Here is a 16,385-nt window from a genome sequence, read left to right on the forward strand (position 1 = left end):
CATCGGTTGCTTCCTGACTTTTTAATGATTGCCACTCTAACAGGCATGAGATGGTATCTCATTGTGGTTTTGATTTGCATTTCTCTAATGACCAATAATGATGAGCTTTATTTCATATGTTTGTTGGCTGCATAAATGTCTTATTTTGAGAAGTGTCTGTTCATATCCTTCGCCCACTTTTTGATGGGGTTGTTTGTTTTTTTCTTGTAAATTTGTTTAAGTTCTTTGTAGATTCTGGATATTAGCCCTTTGTCAGATGGATAGATTGCAAAAATTTTCTCCCACTCTGTAGGTTGCCTGCTCACTCTAATGATAGTTCCTTTTGCTGAGCAGATGGTCTTTAGTTTAATTAGGTCCCATTTGTCAATTTTGACTTTTGTTGCCATTGCTTTTGGGGTTTTAGTCATGAAGTCTTTGCCCATGCCTATGTCCTGAATGGTATTGCCTAGGTTTTCTTCTAGGGTTTTTATGGTTTTAGGTTTTACATTTAAGTATTTAATCCATCTTGAGTTAATTTTTGTATGAGATATAAGGAAGGGGTCCAGTTCCAGTTTTCCGCATATGGCTAGCCAGTTTTCCCAACACCATTTATTAAATAGGGAATCCTTTCCCTACTGCTTGTTTTTGTCAGGTTTGTCAAAGATCAGATGGTTGTAGATGTGTGGCATTATTTCTTAGGCCTCTGTTCTGTTCCATTGGTCTATATATCTGTTTTGGTACCAGTACCATGCTGTTTTGGCAAACCAGGAAGAAGCTGAATCCCTGAATATACCAATAAGAAGTTCTGAAATTGAGGCAGTAATTAATAGCCTACCGAGCAAAAAAAAAAAAAAAAAAAAAAAAATCCAGGACCAGACGGATTCACAGCCGAATTCTACCAGAGGTACAAAGAGGAGCTGGTACCATTCCTTCTGAAACTATTCCAATCAATAGAAAAAGAGGGAATCCTCTCTAACTAATTTTATGAGTCCAGCATCATCCTGATACCAAAACCTGGCAGAGGCACAACCAAAAACAGAAAATTTCAGGCCAATATCCCTGATGAATATTGATGTGAAAATTCTCAATAAAATACTGGCAAACTGAATCCAACAGCACATCAAAAAGCTTACCCACCACGATCAAGTTGGCTTCATCCCTGGGATGCAAGGCTGGTTAAACATATGCAAATCAATAAATGTAATCCATCACATAAACAGAACCAGTGACAAAAACCACATGATTATCTCAATAGATGCAGAAAAGGCTTTCAATAAAATTTAACACCCCTTTATGCTAAAAACTCTCAATAAACTAGGTATTGATGGAACCCATCGAAAAAAAATGAGCTATTTATGACAAACCCACAGCCAATGTCACACTGAATGAGAAAAAGCTGGAAGTATTCCCTTTGAAAACTGGCACGAGACAAGGATGCCCTCTCTCACCACTCGTATTCAACCTACTATTGGAAGTTCTGGCCAGGGCAATCAGGCAAGAGAAAGAAATAAAGCGTATTCAAATAGGAAGAGAGAAAGTCAAATTGTCTCTGTTTGCAGATGACATGATTGTATATTTAGAAAACCCCATCATCTCAGCCCCAAATCTCCTTAAGCTGATAAGCAACTTCAGCAAAGTCCCAGGATACAAAATCAATGTGCAAAGATCACAAGATTCCTATATACCAATAACAGACAAACAGAGAGCCAAATCATGAGTGAACTCCCATTCACAATTGCTACAAAGAGAATAAAATACCTAGGAATCCAACTTACAAGGGATATGAAGGACCTCTTCAAGGAGAACTACAAACCACTGCTCAAGGGAATAAAAGAGGACACAAATAAATGGAAAAACATTCCATGCTCATGATAGGAAGAATCAATATTGTGAAAATGGCTGTACTGCCCAAGGTAATTTATAGATTCAATGCTATCCCCATCAAGCTACCATTGACTTTCTTCACAGAATTAGAAAAAACTACTTTAAATTTCATATGGAACCAAAAAAGAGCCCATATAGCCAAGGCAATCCTAAGCAAAAAGAACAAAGCTGGCGGCATCACACTACCTGACTCTAAAGTTCTATAAATGAACTCACGAGGCCAAAGAATGAAGAAGACACCAACACAAAGGGGAAAAAATCAAAACAATATGGTCATTGCAATGGTAGAGATATGCACAGTATATTATGGAAACCCAGAGAAGACAAACGTAACACAGCTTTGGGAAGATATGGAATTTTTCTCCCAGGAGGAGAGGATGATCAAGCTGAGAGATGTGTGAACTGAGTGGAAAGGAGGGGAGTAGTATTCCAAGAGAAGCAAACAGTATGAGCAATTCATGGAGGTAGGAAAGCTGTATACAGGGAACCATCAGCAGGTTGTTGAATAAAGGAAGCTGAATGAGGCTGGGCACAGTAGCTCACGCCTGCATTCCCAGCACTTTGAGAGGCCGAGGTGGAATCATCATTTGAGGCCAGCAGTTTGAGACCAGCCTGGGTAACATAGCCTGACCACATCTCTCCAAAAAATAAAAATAAATTAGCCTGCTGTAGTGGCAGTGCCTGTAGTCCTAGCTACTCTGAAAGGATCACTTGAGTCCAGGAGGCTGAGGTTGCAGTGAGCTATGATTACCCCATTGCACTCCAGCCTGGGCAACAGAGCAAGACCCTGACTCTGAAAAAAAAAAAAAACAAAAAACAAAAACAGGATCGTAAAAGACAATACTAACATACAACAAAGCATGCAGATTCCAGTAAAGCCTGTCATATTAGGCAGATTAGGCAGGTTTAAATATATTTTTATGTGATGATGAGCCCCTAAAGGCTTTTGAGCAGGAGGGACTATCTGAAAAAAGATATAGAATGGTTAAGACCCAAGACAGAGAGAAGGTACAAGGACTATTTGGTTGATAAAATCTGTAGGAATTGGAATGGGCTGAATGTGGGAGTGGGGGTGGGGTGAGAGATGGGGAGGACTGAAGACTGAATAGACCCAGATTTCTGGTTTGAGTCCGGGAGAGGTGGGGTGCTGAATTCGAAGGTCAGGACACCTATACCTCTGGGAATACAGCGATGGTTGCAAAAGGCATCTGGTATTGTCCTTCTGCCACTGTCTTAAAAGGGATTCTAAAGGGATTTTCTTGCCCTTGTTCCTCCAGCCCTACACTTGCATTACTGGCCTACGTGGATGCTCACCAGCTGGCTGTGTCCATCATTGCAGCCAAGTCTGAGAATTCCTGATTATACTTAGAGCCTGTGGAGCTGCTGACACAAACAGTCATTAGCAGACAACCCTTTTGCAACAAAGTATGCTTTAAAATGTAAACTGTGGAGCCATTTTCCTTGCGTTGTCCAGAAGGAACTTCGTCCTGCGTGAGCCTGGATTAATCATGAGAGAGCTCGTCAACATTCCACTGGTACATATTCTTACTCTGGTTGCCTTCAGCGGAACTGAGAAACTTCCAAAAGGTTGGTTTGAGCAATCGTGTCTTCTTGTTGTCTTGTCATGGTTGTAAAGTGTGTGTATATGAGATATGACCAAGACTGATTTATAGTATGGTGGGCTTGGGTTTTACTTGAAGAAGTAAGGGTGAAATGTATGATGAGGGAGGAAATTATATACATAAGCAATTGGTTGATGGTCTCTCTACCAATATTTTACTCCGAAGTTCTGCAATAAAAGGCTTAGCCACATAGTGCATGCAGAGCTCTGACTTCTAGGGCAAAACATAAGCATGTACACTGCAAGTTATCAAGGTCTATTTTGTTTATGCGAATGTCAAATTTCAGGGTGGTCTAAGTGGATGATGACAACCTTTTCGCATCAGGTTTGCCAGGAATAGAATCAACCCCATTCTCAGACATCCAGAGCATTTGCTTCTGAATAAAAATCACTTTTATTTTCAGTTTTAGCTTTGCCAAACTCTTAATAAATATTTTAGTTGCTAAAAATTGGAAATACAGAAAGACGTACACAATTTGCCTGTGTAACAAACCCGGAAGACAATGGATTTTAAATAACTTTGAGGCTGGAGTCATGATTTGGCTTGGCAAGAGACTGCAAAAGTTTTTTTCAGAGCCTTTGGAATGTACCGGAAATAACACCACCTCAGGGGAAAGGAAAGCAACTTAAGAAACTGACAAACACCTGTTGCAGTAGCAAGAATGTCCAGTGATATAGTTTCTGGCCAGTGTATTATGAAACTGGGACTAGCGTATTTGAAATCAGAAAGACTGGAAAGTCTGTGATTTGCAAAGTGACTAAGGGTATCACTGAAATCTTTTTTTAAAAAGACATGAGAAAGCAGATCGAGTGGTATCAATACAAGAGTTTTCAAATTTAATGTTATACCATAGAGTAAAAAGAGATTTTTGCTTCAGGACATGTTCAAATTAATCATTTTCCCTTTATATTAATCAAAGCACTGAAACAGTTTGTATTGTGTAGATAAATGAAGGTGGTATCTGTATATAGATGCAAAATGTATCTTTAGATTTTCTGGTTCACTAAAAATTCTGGAGCCATAAGGTCAAAGTTCACATGCAAATAAGATGCGGGTTTCTTCACAAACAATCTGATTTCACAGATTTTTTTGTTTCATTTTGTTGCTTCTCTTTTTCCATTTTACTTGAGTATAATGGTATCTTCAAATGTATTTAAACATTTAATTTCTAATGAATACTTTAAGGCATCTACAGATAAAAGAGACTCTAGATCTTTTCAAACAGCTAATAATAGTCAGAAAGACTTAACATTGGCTTCAGATTATTTTAATACTTCCTGATCAAACAACGGATGTCCGGTAAGGCCCCACCTGGATGTTTGAACGTATGGGTTGTCTTAAGTATTATTTGTATATTTCTAAACCACGCAGTTACATAAAAATGATAGGGTTAAATACTAAAATACAGTCTTATAAAGAGCAGGACAATTGATTTTGATGATTCAAATAAGGATTTGTTGTACACACACACAAAACCCCCAAAATCTCTCTATCTGAATAAGTCTTAATTTATATTCTAGAAAGAATTGATTTTCATTTCCAAACTTTACAAATAAAGCCCTTAATTCAAATGCACACTATCTCTATTTTGAAAATATTGAAATATAGTGGCATAGAGATAACAAAGCCAAACACCCTGACTTTTAAATAAACTAACCAGATCATTCACCCAATTTCATTTCTTATAATTTATTTACTACTAGAATTAGGTTTTAAAATCAAAAAATTTAAGCAATTTTTTCTCAGTCTATTGTACTGTAAAATCTAAATTAGTATGAGTTTAACATCACTCTTAGCCAAAATACCATGTCTAGGAGAACAAACATTTATTTACTACATACAGCAGTTCTGAGAATAACTAATATCATGAAAGCATAATCCTTAAAATTTTAAATGTTGAAGGGTGAGGAATACATTGGTAGAAAAGAACCACAATAAAATTTTATTATTTTCATTATTATTATTATTATTTGAGACAGAGTCTCGTTCTGTTGCCAGGCTGCAGTGCAGTGGTGTGATCTCAGCTCACTGCAACCTCCTCCTCCCAGGTTCAAGCTATACTCCTGCCTCAGACTCGCAAATACCTGGGACTACAGGTGCAAGCCACCACACTCGGCTAATTTTTATATTTTTAGTAGAGACAGGGTTTCACCATGTTGGCCAAGATGGTCTCCATCTCTTGACCTCGTGATCTGCCTGCCTCGGCCTCCCAAAGTGCTGGGATTACAGGCATGAGCCACTGCGCCAGCCATTATACTACTGAAACTAATAAAAATGGCCCACCCAAACTATTTCTACTATTTCTAGAAAACTACTGTTTTCCCTATTCTTGGCAGACGGTAATAACAAAAAGAGTTTTTTAGATAATATACTTCTTCCTAAGTCCTTTATCATGAATGCATAAAGGAAATTGTACAATATGTATTAGCTAATAAATTGACATATTTAAAATAACACAAAAGTATTCAGTGGATTATTTTCTGACTTTCTGCACATCATTTTTTGATAAAAATTAATATCCAACTTTGTAGAATTAATTGTTCATAGTTTTCATTTTAGTTTAATTAAGGCTACTAATGCCCAATGATAAGGGGAAGAATCATTGTCTTTCTGAATCATTTCAACTAGTGATATTTTCAATGATGAATTCAGTGCCATAACCCAAGTAGTAGAATTTCACAAACTGTCATTTATGAAAGTAGCCAATGTTCCACTGGATAATTGGCTTAACTACATACATCAATAACATTTAATGCTTTATTAGGGAGTATTAAATGTATGGTGCAATGTTAGATTCTGCAGGAGCATAAGAGTTCATGTAAGCAGCTCTGGATTTGCTTAATATGCACAAAGAACTATCAAAAGTCTCACTTTCAAAACACCCGACTTACTACAATACGTTGAAGTGTTTGAGCGTACGTGATTTTATCTTTAGATAGATTTGAATAACCTCCTCTTTTAAATTGTATGTATATAAGGATAGGATTCACAGATTTGACATATGACTAAGTCATGACTGACACAGCTGTCATTGAAATCCAGGACACACAGTCCTGGATGAATATTTTATATTGACATGCATTGAAAGAGTTACTCATTGCATGTTTGAGTAAACAGAGTTGCTTCAAATATTATTGACCTTAAAGAAAAGAAGGAAGGAGCAGAAATTTCAAGATCTCTTTAAACTCTACCTTATTTCCAAAGGTAAATGAAGTAGGCAGCTTCTCAGTGAAATAAAACCTGATGTCGTTGAAGGAGAGTAACAAGTGAGGGGTGGAAAGAGGGCCTGAAAGGAGTGGCTCTATTCAGGAAGATGAGAGGATCACATGGGCCATGCTGAAGACCCAGCTGGGGCTAGGAACTGCAGCTTTCTTTATAGTGCCCCTGACCTGAACATTTACTGCACTATACCCAGCAGTGCTATGTGAACATAGGGTAGGGAGGACAGATGGCTGGATTAATTCAGGATTGGCACTTTCCAGGGTCAGTACAGCTAAAGAACTAGAGAGTAAAGGAGTTGGAGTTATATGGCAGCGTACCATGAGATACAGATTGGATCAGGAAGAAAGTAAAACAAGGATATTTAATGCTTGGAAGAGAAGGTTAAAAAGTTTAAACCAACCCCAAAGTGTTTTGTTGTACTAAAAAAAAAATACTGCATTCATAATGTTAGAGAAACATGAATATTTTCCAAGTCAGAGCCCTAATTTTACTAAAATAGAAAGGAGCAAATACACCTTGTTTCTTTATGTACCCAATCATTGGGTCATGTCAATCCAAAAATAATCAATCAAAAGTTGGTAAGTCAATAGTCATATGCGAGAGCCCATAAAATACAAAGGAAAGGTAATGTCATGTCCTTCTCATCAAGCAGTTGATATCCAAGTCAAGCTTTTCTTCGGGTCCAGAAAAGGATTGTGTTCATTTTCATGTATTTGTTATTCATGTAGTCCTTGGATTGAGAGAAGAAATAGTGCCCTAGTTTAAACGAGCTCTGGCTGAGATGAAAGCTGGATAGTAGAATGAAAGTAAACAAGAGACAGTGTGCTGAGTCAACAAATATCATTAAATACAACTGATCCATGTGATTGTGTCAGTGAAAACCGGAAAGCAGATTTGGATAACTGGAAATATGGACAATGTGGACTTGGCATTCTGTGTGTAGAAACTGATATTGATGTACATCTTCTCTTATCCATCTGTGCATAATCAGTATGATCTTGAAGATGCAGTATGTCTTAGAGAAAGGAAGTATAAACCAACTTTAACCCTGAAGTTCAGCTAGTTCAGCTCTATCACTTCCTATTTTTGTGATATGTAGACAAGTTGTGCAACCATTTTTAGTCCCCATTTCTGGTCTGCAAGTGGAAATATTAATAGTATCTACCTTTTTTGTGTTAAATAAAAAGATAATGAATAAAAAGTATAATGCATGGCACATACCAGATTCTTAATCACTTTTAGATGCTAATATTAGTAAAAACAGTCAAACTTCACACAAGACTGTTATGTCACTGAATCTTATGGGAAGGTGTTAACTTAATAAAGTTCTTAGTAACACCTTCCATATTTCTCCATGTCTATTTTCCAAGACATTCTAAGACTCACTTCTTTGATCTTAACTGATCTCAACAGTTCATGTGACATCTCCAGTGTGTCACCTCATTGGAAAGATAACATTAATAGTAAGTCTATTACCTCTGCCACTTCTGCATCTGTGTATTGAGTGAAAATAACACTAGTGCATAAAGTTTCTCTCTTATAAAAGTAGCACATGGTATTTAAGATTGATTTTGAAAATGCAAAATACATAAAGTTTAAGACAGAAGAAGTCATCCATACTTCCAGGACTATTAACACATTGGCATATTTTCTTCCATTTTTTTCTACATATTTTTAAAGTCCTTATTAACATTGTGCTGCCTGCTATTTTTACTTAGCACTAAAGCATGAGCATATTCTATATTATTAGTAATCTTCCAAACGTCATGTGTGGTGACTAAATAATATTCTGTTTAGATAACAGTGTGCTAGTATATGTTTAATATTCACCTCACTGAGAAAAAAAAAGACGTGGATTTGTTGCTCTTGTTTATTTCTGCAGTAAAATACTCTATAGTAAAAAACTCTATTGTGTCTGTGGCCAGTCTCAAGCTACTATCAAATAATGAGCACTGAGTTGGGAAATAGCATGTGTAGTAGCATCCTTCATATATTATTTCTACCACACAGACACATTACAGATAACCTCAAGAACTTATATAATAATAAAATGTAGTTAAATCATTGGGAATTTCAAGTATTAATACTTTGTTTTTAATATATTTGATTATAAATGTATACAACTTAGTTTTTAATAATGATTGTATATAACAATCACCTCTCAAAATTCCTAAAAAATTACCAAGTGGCTCTTGCAAACCTGCGGAAGACAAAACTTGTGTGCCTCAATCTTCTCCCACTTGACTACGATTAATAGAATTTAGTACAATTGATCTGTTTTCTGCAGTAAAAGTCACCTATATGCCTTTCTATATGTGAGATTATTTCCTTAGGATAGATTCCCAGAGATGATGATGATGATGATGATGATATTATTATTATTTTAGAGATAGAGTCTTGCTCTGTCACACAGGCTGGAGTACAGAGGTGCAATCACAGCTCACTGAAACTTTGAACTCCTAGGCTCAGTTGATCCTCCCACCTCAGCTTCTTCCCAAGTAGCTGGGATTACAAAGTGTGTGCCACCATGCCGGCTAATTTTTAAATTTTTTGTAGAGATGTGGTTTCTCTGTGCTGCCCAGCCTGGTCTCAAACTCCTAGGCTCAAGTGATCCTCCCACCTCGGCCTCAAAAGTGCTGGGATTACAGACATGAGCCACCAACCACACCCAGCCTGAGATAAAATATTAACGGTATAATACATTTGAATGTAATAAAGACAAGGAAAACAATCAAACAGCCTGGGTTTCTTTTTCTAAATTATAGAATCAAGTAACATTTGCACAGTGCTCCATGTGGACCAAGGACAATTTTAAATGGTTTCCATTTATTTATTCCTTGTGACAAGTTATGTGGAGGCTATACATTATCTCCGTCTATAGCTGAGACACTGAGGTTAAGTGTGGTTAAGTGACTTGCAGAGTCGGTAAGTGATGGAGCTGGGATGTGAATTCAAGTCCTGTGCCACATTGCCTCTTTTTTTTTTTTTTTTTTTTTTTTGAGACAGAGTCTTGCACTGTCGCCCAGGCTGGAGTGCAGTGTCGCGATCTCAGCTCATTACAAGCTCCGCCTCCCTGGTTCACGCCATTCTCCTGCCTCAGCCTCCCGAGTTGCTGGGACTACAGGCACCCGCCACCACGCCCGGCTAATTTTTTGTATTTTTAGTAGAGATGGGGTTTCACCCTGTTAGCCAGGATGGTCTCGATCTCCTGACCTCGTGATCCGCCCGCCTCGGCCTCTCAAAGTGCTAGGATTACAGGCGTGAGCCACCGTGCCTGGCCGCTACATTGCCTCTTAATGTGTAGTTGCTCAATAGTCTTCCCTTTTTTTTTTTTTTTTTTTTTTTTTGGGACTGAGTCTCACTCTGTTGCCCAGGCTGGAGTGCAGCGGTGCGGTCTCGGCTCACTGCAATCTCCACCTCCTGGGTTCAAGTGATTCTCCTGCCTCAGCCTCCCGAGTAGCTGGGATTACAGGCCTGCACCACCACACCCAGCTAATTTTTGTATTTTTAGTAGAGATGGGATTTCACCATGTTGGCCAGGAATCTCTTGAACTCGTGGTCCTCCCCGCCTCGGCCTCCCAAAGTGCTCGGATTACAGGCGTGAGCCACCGCACCTGGCCTAGTCTTTCTTTTTAAACAGTAAAAGCATTCAACATCATCAATTAACCTTTGGGCTCATTGTTAACCACACTCCACAAGCTTAATAAAATATTGTTTTTGTTCTTTATCTCTCAATATCTAGATGATTATACTATTAATTGCTTATTTCATTCATTCGTTGTTTAGAAAATAACTTTTTATTGAGATTGACTTTCTCAAACTTTATGAATTATAAGTTTGCCTCCATTGCATTTTGAAAATTAACACTTCTTTGGCATTCTATCTGCTACAATTTTTTTCTATTATGAAAGCAATATGTATTCATTTTTTTAAAAAATCCTGTAAGATACAGAAAAACAAAAATATAAAATTACACATAATGCTCATAGCAAGGGATAAGTGCTCTTAGCATTTTGCTATTCATTCTTTCAGTCTCTTTCTCTCATATATGTGTGTGTGTATATGTAAGTGTATATATGTTGTATATATACACATACACACACATATATTATATATTATATATTATATATGTGTGTGTATGTGTATGTAATTTTATTTTGTAAATTTTAAGTTCCGGGGTACAAGTGCAGGATGTGCAGTTTTGTTACATAGGTAAACGTGTGCCATGGTGGTTTGCTGCACCTGTCACCCATCACCTAAATAACTGGGCTCAGCATGTATTAGCTATTTTTCATAATGCTCTCCCTCCCCCAATCCCACCTGCTGACAGGCCCCAGTGTGTGTTGTTCCCTTCCCTGTGTCCATGTGTTCTCATTGTTCAGTTCCCACTTATAAGTGAAAACGTGGTGTTTGCTTTTCTGTTCCTGCATTAGTTTGCTGAAGAGAATGGCTTCCAGCTCTATCCATGTCCCTGCAAAGGACATAATCTCATTCCTTTTTATGGCTGCATAGTATTCCATGGTGTATATGTATCACATTTTCTTTATCCAGTCTATCATTGATGGTCACTTGGGTTGCTTCCATGTCTTTGCTATTGTGAATAGTGCTGCAGTGAACATAGGTGTGCATGTATCTTTACAAATTTCAGAGGCTGTTATTTCATTGAGGAAAGAGAAGCATTTAAATAAGAAGCTCTCTCTTCAGCTGCCTACCAGCAAAGGGGAAAAACCTACCTCTCTGCATCCATCTTGTCCTCCTTCTCCCTCACTGTGCTTTAAGAGGACTTTCTCTTCCTATCCGTGGTTAACCCGTCTTTCTTCCTCTGAGCCCCACATAAATCTGCTTTCTCAGGGACCTATTTCCCTCAATTATCTCCTGTCTTTCTCCAATGTCCTACATTTTTGCTTCTACTAGGTGCTTCCAGTCAGCATTTAAACCCACTCTTGTCACCATACTCACCTCCAGCACCATGCAGCCCCTTTCTTCCCTTTTATTGTTAAACTCTGCTGCAAAAAGATGTCTTCCCTCTCCTCTTAGTTTCCACTTCCTTATCACAACCTAACCCCCACCACTGCAATCTGGCTTCCGCCAAATCTGCAAGCACCAAAATCAACATGACCTCCTCATCAGGAAACTCAGTGGGCACTTTTAGGTCCTTATTTAACTTAACGTCTCGGCAGCATTTGATTCTCCCTCTTTTGTGAAACGTGTGCTACTCTTGGGCTCTGCCAATAGCCTCCACTGGCTTTGCTTACAACTCTGATTTCTTCCTCTCAGTCTCTTTTCTAAACTCTTCATTCTCCCACCCATCTTTTATAAATGTTTGTGTTTTCTTCTAATTGGCTTAGGGCACCAGCCTCCCTCCGTCTTCAGGCTTTCACGGGTACCGTTTCCTCTGCCTGGAACACTCTTCTCTCTCCACTGCACCAAGCCAAATTTGAATCATCCTGTGAATGTGTGTGAATGTATTGTGTAGTTTTTTTTTATTCCTAGTTTTATCAAGTTCAGTGGTTGAGAAACATTATTTATCATGTTAAAGAAATACTATTATATTCCGACTCTACTAATGGTTTTCAAGTAGGGAATGGATAGTTAACTCTGTTACTGCCTTTTTGACTGTGATAGGTATCTTTTAAACTATGACTATAGTAAATCCTGTTTAAAGGACTTTTCTATTAAATTATCCTTATATTTTTGCAAGGATTTTTTTTCTGCCTAAATGCATAGTAATAATTTTGAAATTTATGATTTAATTTAATTTGCTTTTTAAAATTTTACTTTAGGGCTTTACATCCTGCTTGACTTACATTAGCATTGTTTTATTCCAAAGATTGATTTGAGAAGCTTTCTATACTTTATATTCCCTATAGCTTTTGTTTGTTTGTTTTTGAGACAAGGTCTTTCTCTGTCACCCAGGCTGGAGTGCAGTGGTGCAATCACAGCTCACTGCAGCCTTGACCTCCTGGGCTCAAGTGATCCTCCTGCCTCAGGCTCCCAAGTAGCTGGGACTACAGATGTGTGCCACCTGTACCCGGCTAATTTTTTTATTTTTGTATTTTTTGTAGAGATGCAGTCTTGCCATGTTGCCCAGGCTGGTCTCAAAACACCTGGATCCTTCAGTGGATCCTTCTGGGCTCAATGGATCATCCTGCCTCAGCCTCCCAAAGTGTTGAGATTACAGGTATGAGCCACTGCACCTGGCTCCTTGTAGCTTTTATGTAACTGGAGACTTAATTCTTTCTTAAGAGTTTTTTAAAACTTATCTGAAAAACTTTGGGGCATTATATTTTTTTCAGAAGTGTTCTTTGCTAATCTAATCTTTTTCTTCTGTGAGTATTGTTGATGATTTTACCCCACCCTTTACTACATGTGAACAATTTTGTTTTTAAAATTCTTAATTCTTTAGATTTTCATCTTTAAATATTCATTACTGTTTAGCTCTGTTGAATTGTGGTCCAAGAATGTGACATATAATCTGTTTTTAAAATTTATTTAAGCTTTAATTTTCATGGGCATTTGAAAATATGTGTCATCTATCAGGGCTTACAGTTGATGTGCATATCTGTTTAATTAATTTTACTAATTCTGCTATTCTGTTTTACTACATATATAATTATATTTTTGTCTTTTGATCTATAAACAGGATTGGGATTTTTTGTTTTTTTGCTATCTTTTTATTGTCTATTTCTTACAGATTTTATTATGGTTAGAAAATATAGACTATATAAAATCAATTCTTTGAGCTGGGTTAAAATCTCCTATGTAGCTTGGTATATTTTCTTTATGTTTGAATGTTTCATCTATGCATCATTTACAAAATGTATTCTGTAATTGTTTCATTGTTTTATAAATGTACATTATATCTAGTGTTAATTTTGATGTTTATATCTTCTATATCTTTACTGTAGTTCTGTTTGATATATTAGTGTCTGAAGGAGATCTCTTAAAGGGTTACACTATGTTAAAACATTTCTCCATGTACTCTTGTGATAATTTTACTTTTGGGTTTGAGTCCATATTTTTAAATAATTAAGTTTCATGATTGTCATATCTTTTTAGGGCTTGTTCCTTTTATCATTAAGCAATGTTTCTTTTTTTCTTATAAATGCATATGCCCCTATATTACATTTTTCTTATATTACTATTGCTATGTCACTTTCTTTGGGATATCGTTTGCTTTATACATATTTTCCCTCCCCTTTATTTTTAACATTTCTGTTTTATTTTATTTAAGTGTGTCTTTTGTGTTTGATAGCATCTGTCATTTCATAGGTCAGCTTATACCATTGGCACTTACTGTGATTTCTGGTATATTTGGACTTGTTTCTTCCATATTATTTTATGTCTTCTGTTAACCATGCTTTTTCTTGGCTTATTTATTCCTCCTCTTCTTCCTGTTTGTTTTTGCTTTTGTTTTTGATTGATAAAGCCTTTCTGGTACCTCTTTTTTTCTCTGTTGTTTTGGAATTTTTGAATTTTATTTATTTTTTAGTAGTAACCATTAATAAGGTTTTAACATAATCATTTAACCATAGATGCTTCTTTCTGTTTGAAGTTATTCAATATTTCTGTCCTCTTGTTTATGGCAAAGAGCTTAGCATTTTTTAATTACTTAGCATTTTAAACTTCTTTCCTGAACTTTGATCTTATAGTTGTTTGTCTAGAATTTAATTCCACTCTTTTTAAACACAAAAATTTGTGATTTTTTAATATTCCATAGTGTGTTAAAATTGCAATGGTATTTCACCACCATTTATGCTATTGTTTTTTATAACTCACCCCTTTCTTTCTGGTATAAATTATTCCTTAGTGAGTTTATTTACTCTAGTAACTATTTCAGAGAAAGTCTGTGAGTGGTAAACACTCTCAATATTTGTTTATAAGTGTTCTGAGTTTAAAATTATTACCTAAGCTAGCTGTGTAATTCTAAGCTAACAGTTATTTTTACGCAGTCATGTAAAGGTATTAGCCTATTGCCTTTTGGTATCAATTGTTGTTGCTGAATAATCTCAGGTTACCCAAAATTGGCATTCCTATTAAGGAATTAAACTTTTTCTTTCTGGTAGAGTTTAAGATTTTATTTATCTTTAATTTTTACAGTTTTAATTCAATGTGTCCAAGTATGAATTTCTTTCTTTTTTTCTTTTTTTTTTTTTCTTCTGAGACAGAGTCTCCCTCTATCACTCAGGCTGGAGTGCAGTGGTGCGATCTCAGCTCACTGCAGCCTCCACCTCCTGGGTTCAAGCGATTATAGTACTTCAGCCTCCCACATAGCTGGGACTACAGGTGTGCACCACCATGTCCAGCTAAATTTTTTGTATTTTTAGTAGAGACAGGGTTTCACCATGTTAGCCAGGCTGGTCTTGAACTCCTGAGCTCAAGTGATCTGCCCTCCTCGGCCTCCCAAAGTGCTGGGATGACAGGTGTGAGCCACCATGCCCAGCTGTATTTCTTTTTTAAATCTGTCTTGTCATTTGGTGGGTACTTTCGACCTTAATATTCCAGGGTTTGTTTTTCAGTTTTGAAAAATTATCAGCCATTTATCTCTTTATATATTGCTTCTAGGCTGCTCCCCTCTTTTATTTTTCTCAAACTCCTATCAGAGGTGTATTAGTGCCTGTCACTGTATACTTTATATCTCCTAACTATTCTTTAATAGTGTCCATGTCTGTATTTCTTTGTATTATGTTCTGTATATTATAATGATCCTTATGATATATATATCATATATATGATATATATAATGATCCTTATAATATATTATATTATATATAATATATATTATATATTATATATTATATAATATATATTATATATTATATATATAATATTATATATATTATATAATATATATTATATAATATATATTATATATAATATATATTATATATATTATAAGGATCGTTATAATATATATTATAAAAATTATTATAATATATATTATAACAATCCTTATAATATATATTATAATGATTATTCTGTTGAAAAGCTGGGAAGAAAGTGGCCCTGATGACTGTGTATAAGATGTCATTTTACATAAAAATTCTGCTTTCTTATTTCAACTACTATGTTTCAACTTTTTTATTTACTCCTTTTGTGAAGGCCTTATAAATACAGTTTTGTTCATTTAAACAGTACATCAGTCACTGTGCTCACCCTGGGAATTAAATGATGTCTAAAACATGATCCCTGACCTAAAGCTCAAGGTTTTAATAATTGAGTGTGGGTCAAAGACGTAAACAGATCATTTTAATAGTATCTGTGTGACAAGTGGCATTATAAGAATGACATTTCAGGATAACATAAGGTTAAGGAAAGAGGCATTTGGGTCTGCCTAGCATGTCAGGGGAAGTGGAAGGAGATGGATGCTTAAACTGAATCGTAAAAGACAAAATAACATTAGCAAGGGAGATATGGGGCAAGTAAAACGCTCCCACTCACCATTTTTTTTCACTCTCAGCAGATGAGCTTGCCTTTGACTTTACCAAAAAATAATAATAATAATAAGGTTTATTCAGAAAGTGGATGTATCTTTTATGGCCAAACAACGTGCCAGTCTGTTCTAGATGCTCTATAAGTCTGTCACTGACTATTTCACTTCTAAATGTCAATCATACTACTTATTTGGCTTTGATGTATACCTTGCCCTTTAACTGAAGGGACCATATAATTTACTGT

The 16,385-nt window shown here is 36.3% G+C and overlaps 1 protein-coding gene across 7 annotated transcripts in view; it reads left to right on the forward strand.

Annotated features, from left to right (window-relative positions):
* Positions 3,258–16,385, forward strand: part of MUSK (muscle associated receptor tyrosine kinase) — a 137,768-nt gene continuing 124,640 nt past the window's right edge. For all 7 annotated transcript variants that reach the window (XM_005251994.4, XM_005251995.4, XM_017014734.2 and 4 more), the window contains exon 1: positions 3,258–3,450. In XM_005251994.4, the coding sequence (XP_005252051.1) occupies positions 3,372–3,450 (79 nt within the window). In that variant the 5' untranslated portion in view covers positions 3,258–3,371. The remainder of the gene's footprint in view (positions 3,451–16,385) is intronic.

The sequence above is a fragment of the Homo sapiens genome, chromosome 9 (genome assembly GCF_000001405.40).
Source record: "Homo sapiens chromosome 9, GRCh38.p14 Primary Assembly".
In the NCBI taxonomy this organism is placed as follows: Eukaryota; Metazoa; Chordata; class Mammalia; order Primates; family Hominidae; genus Homo; species Homo sapiens.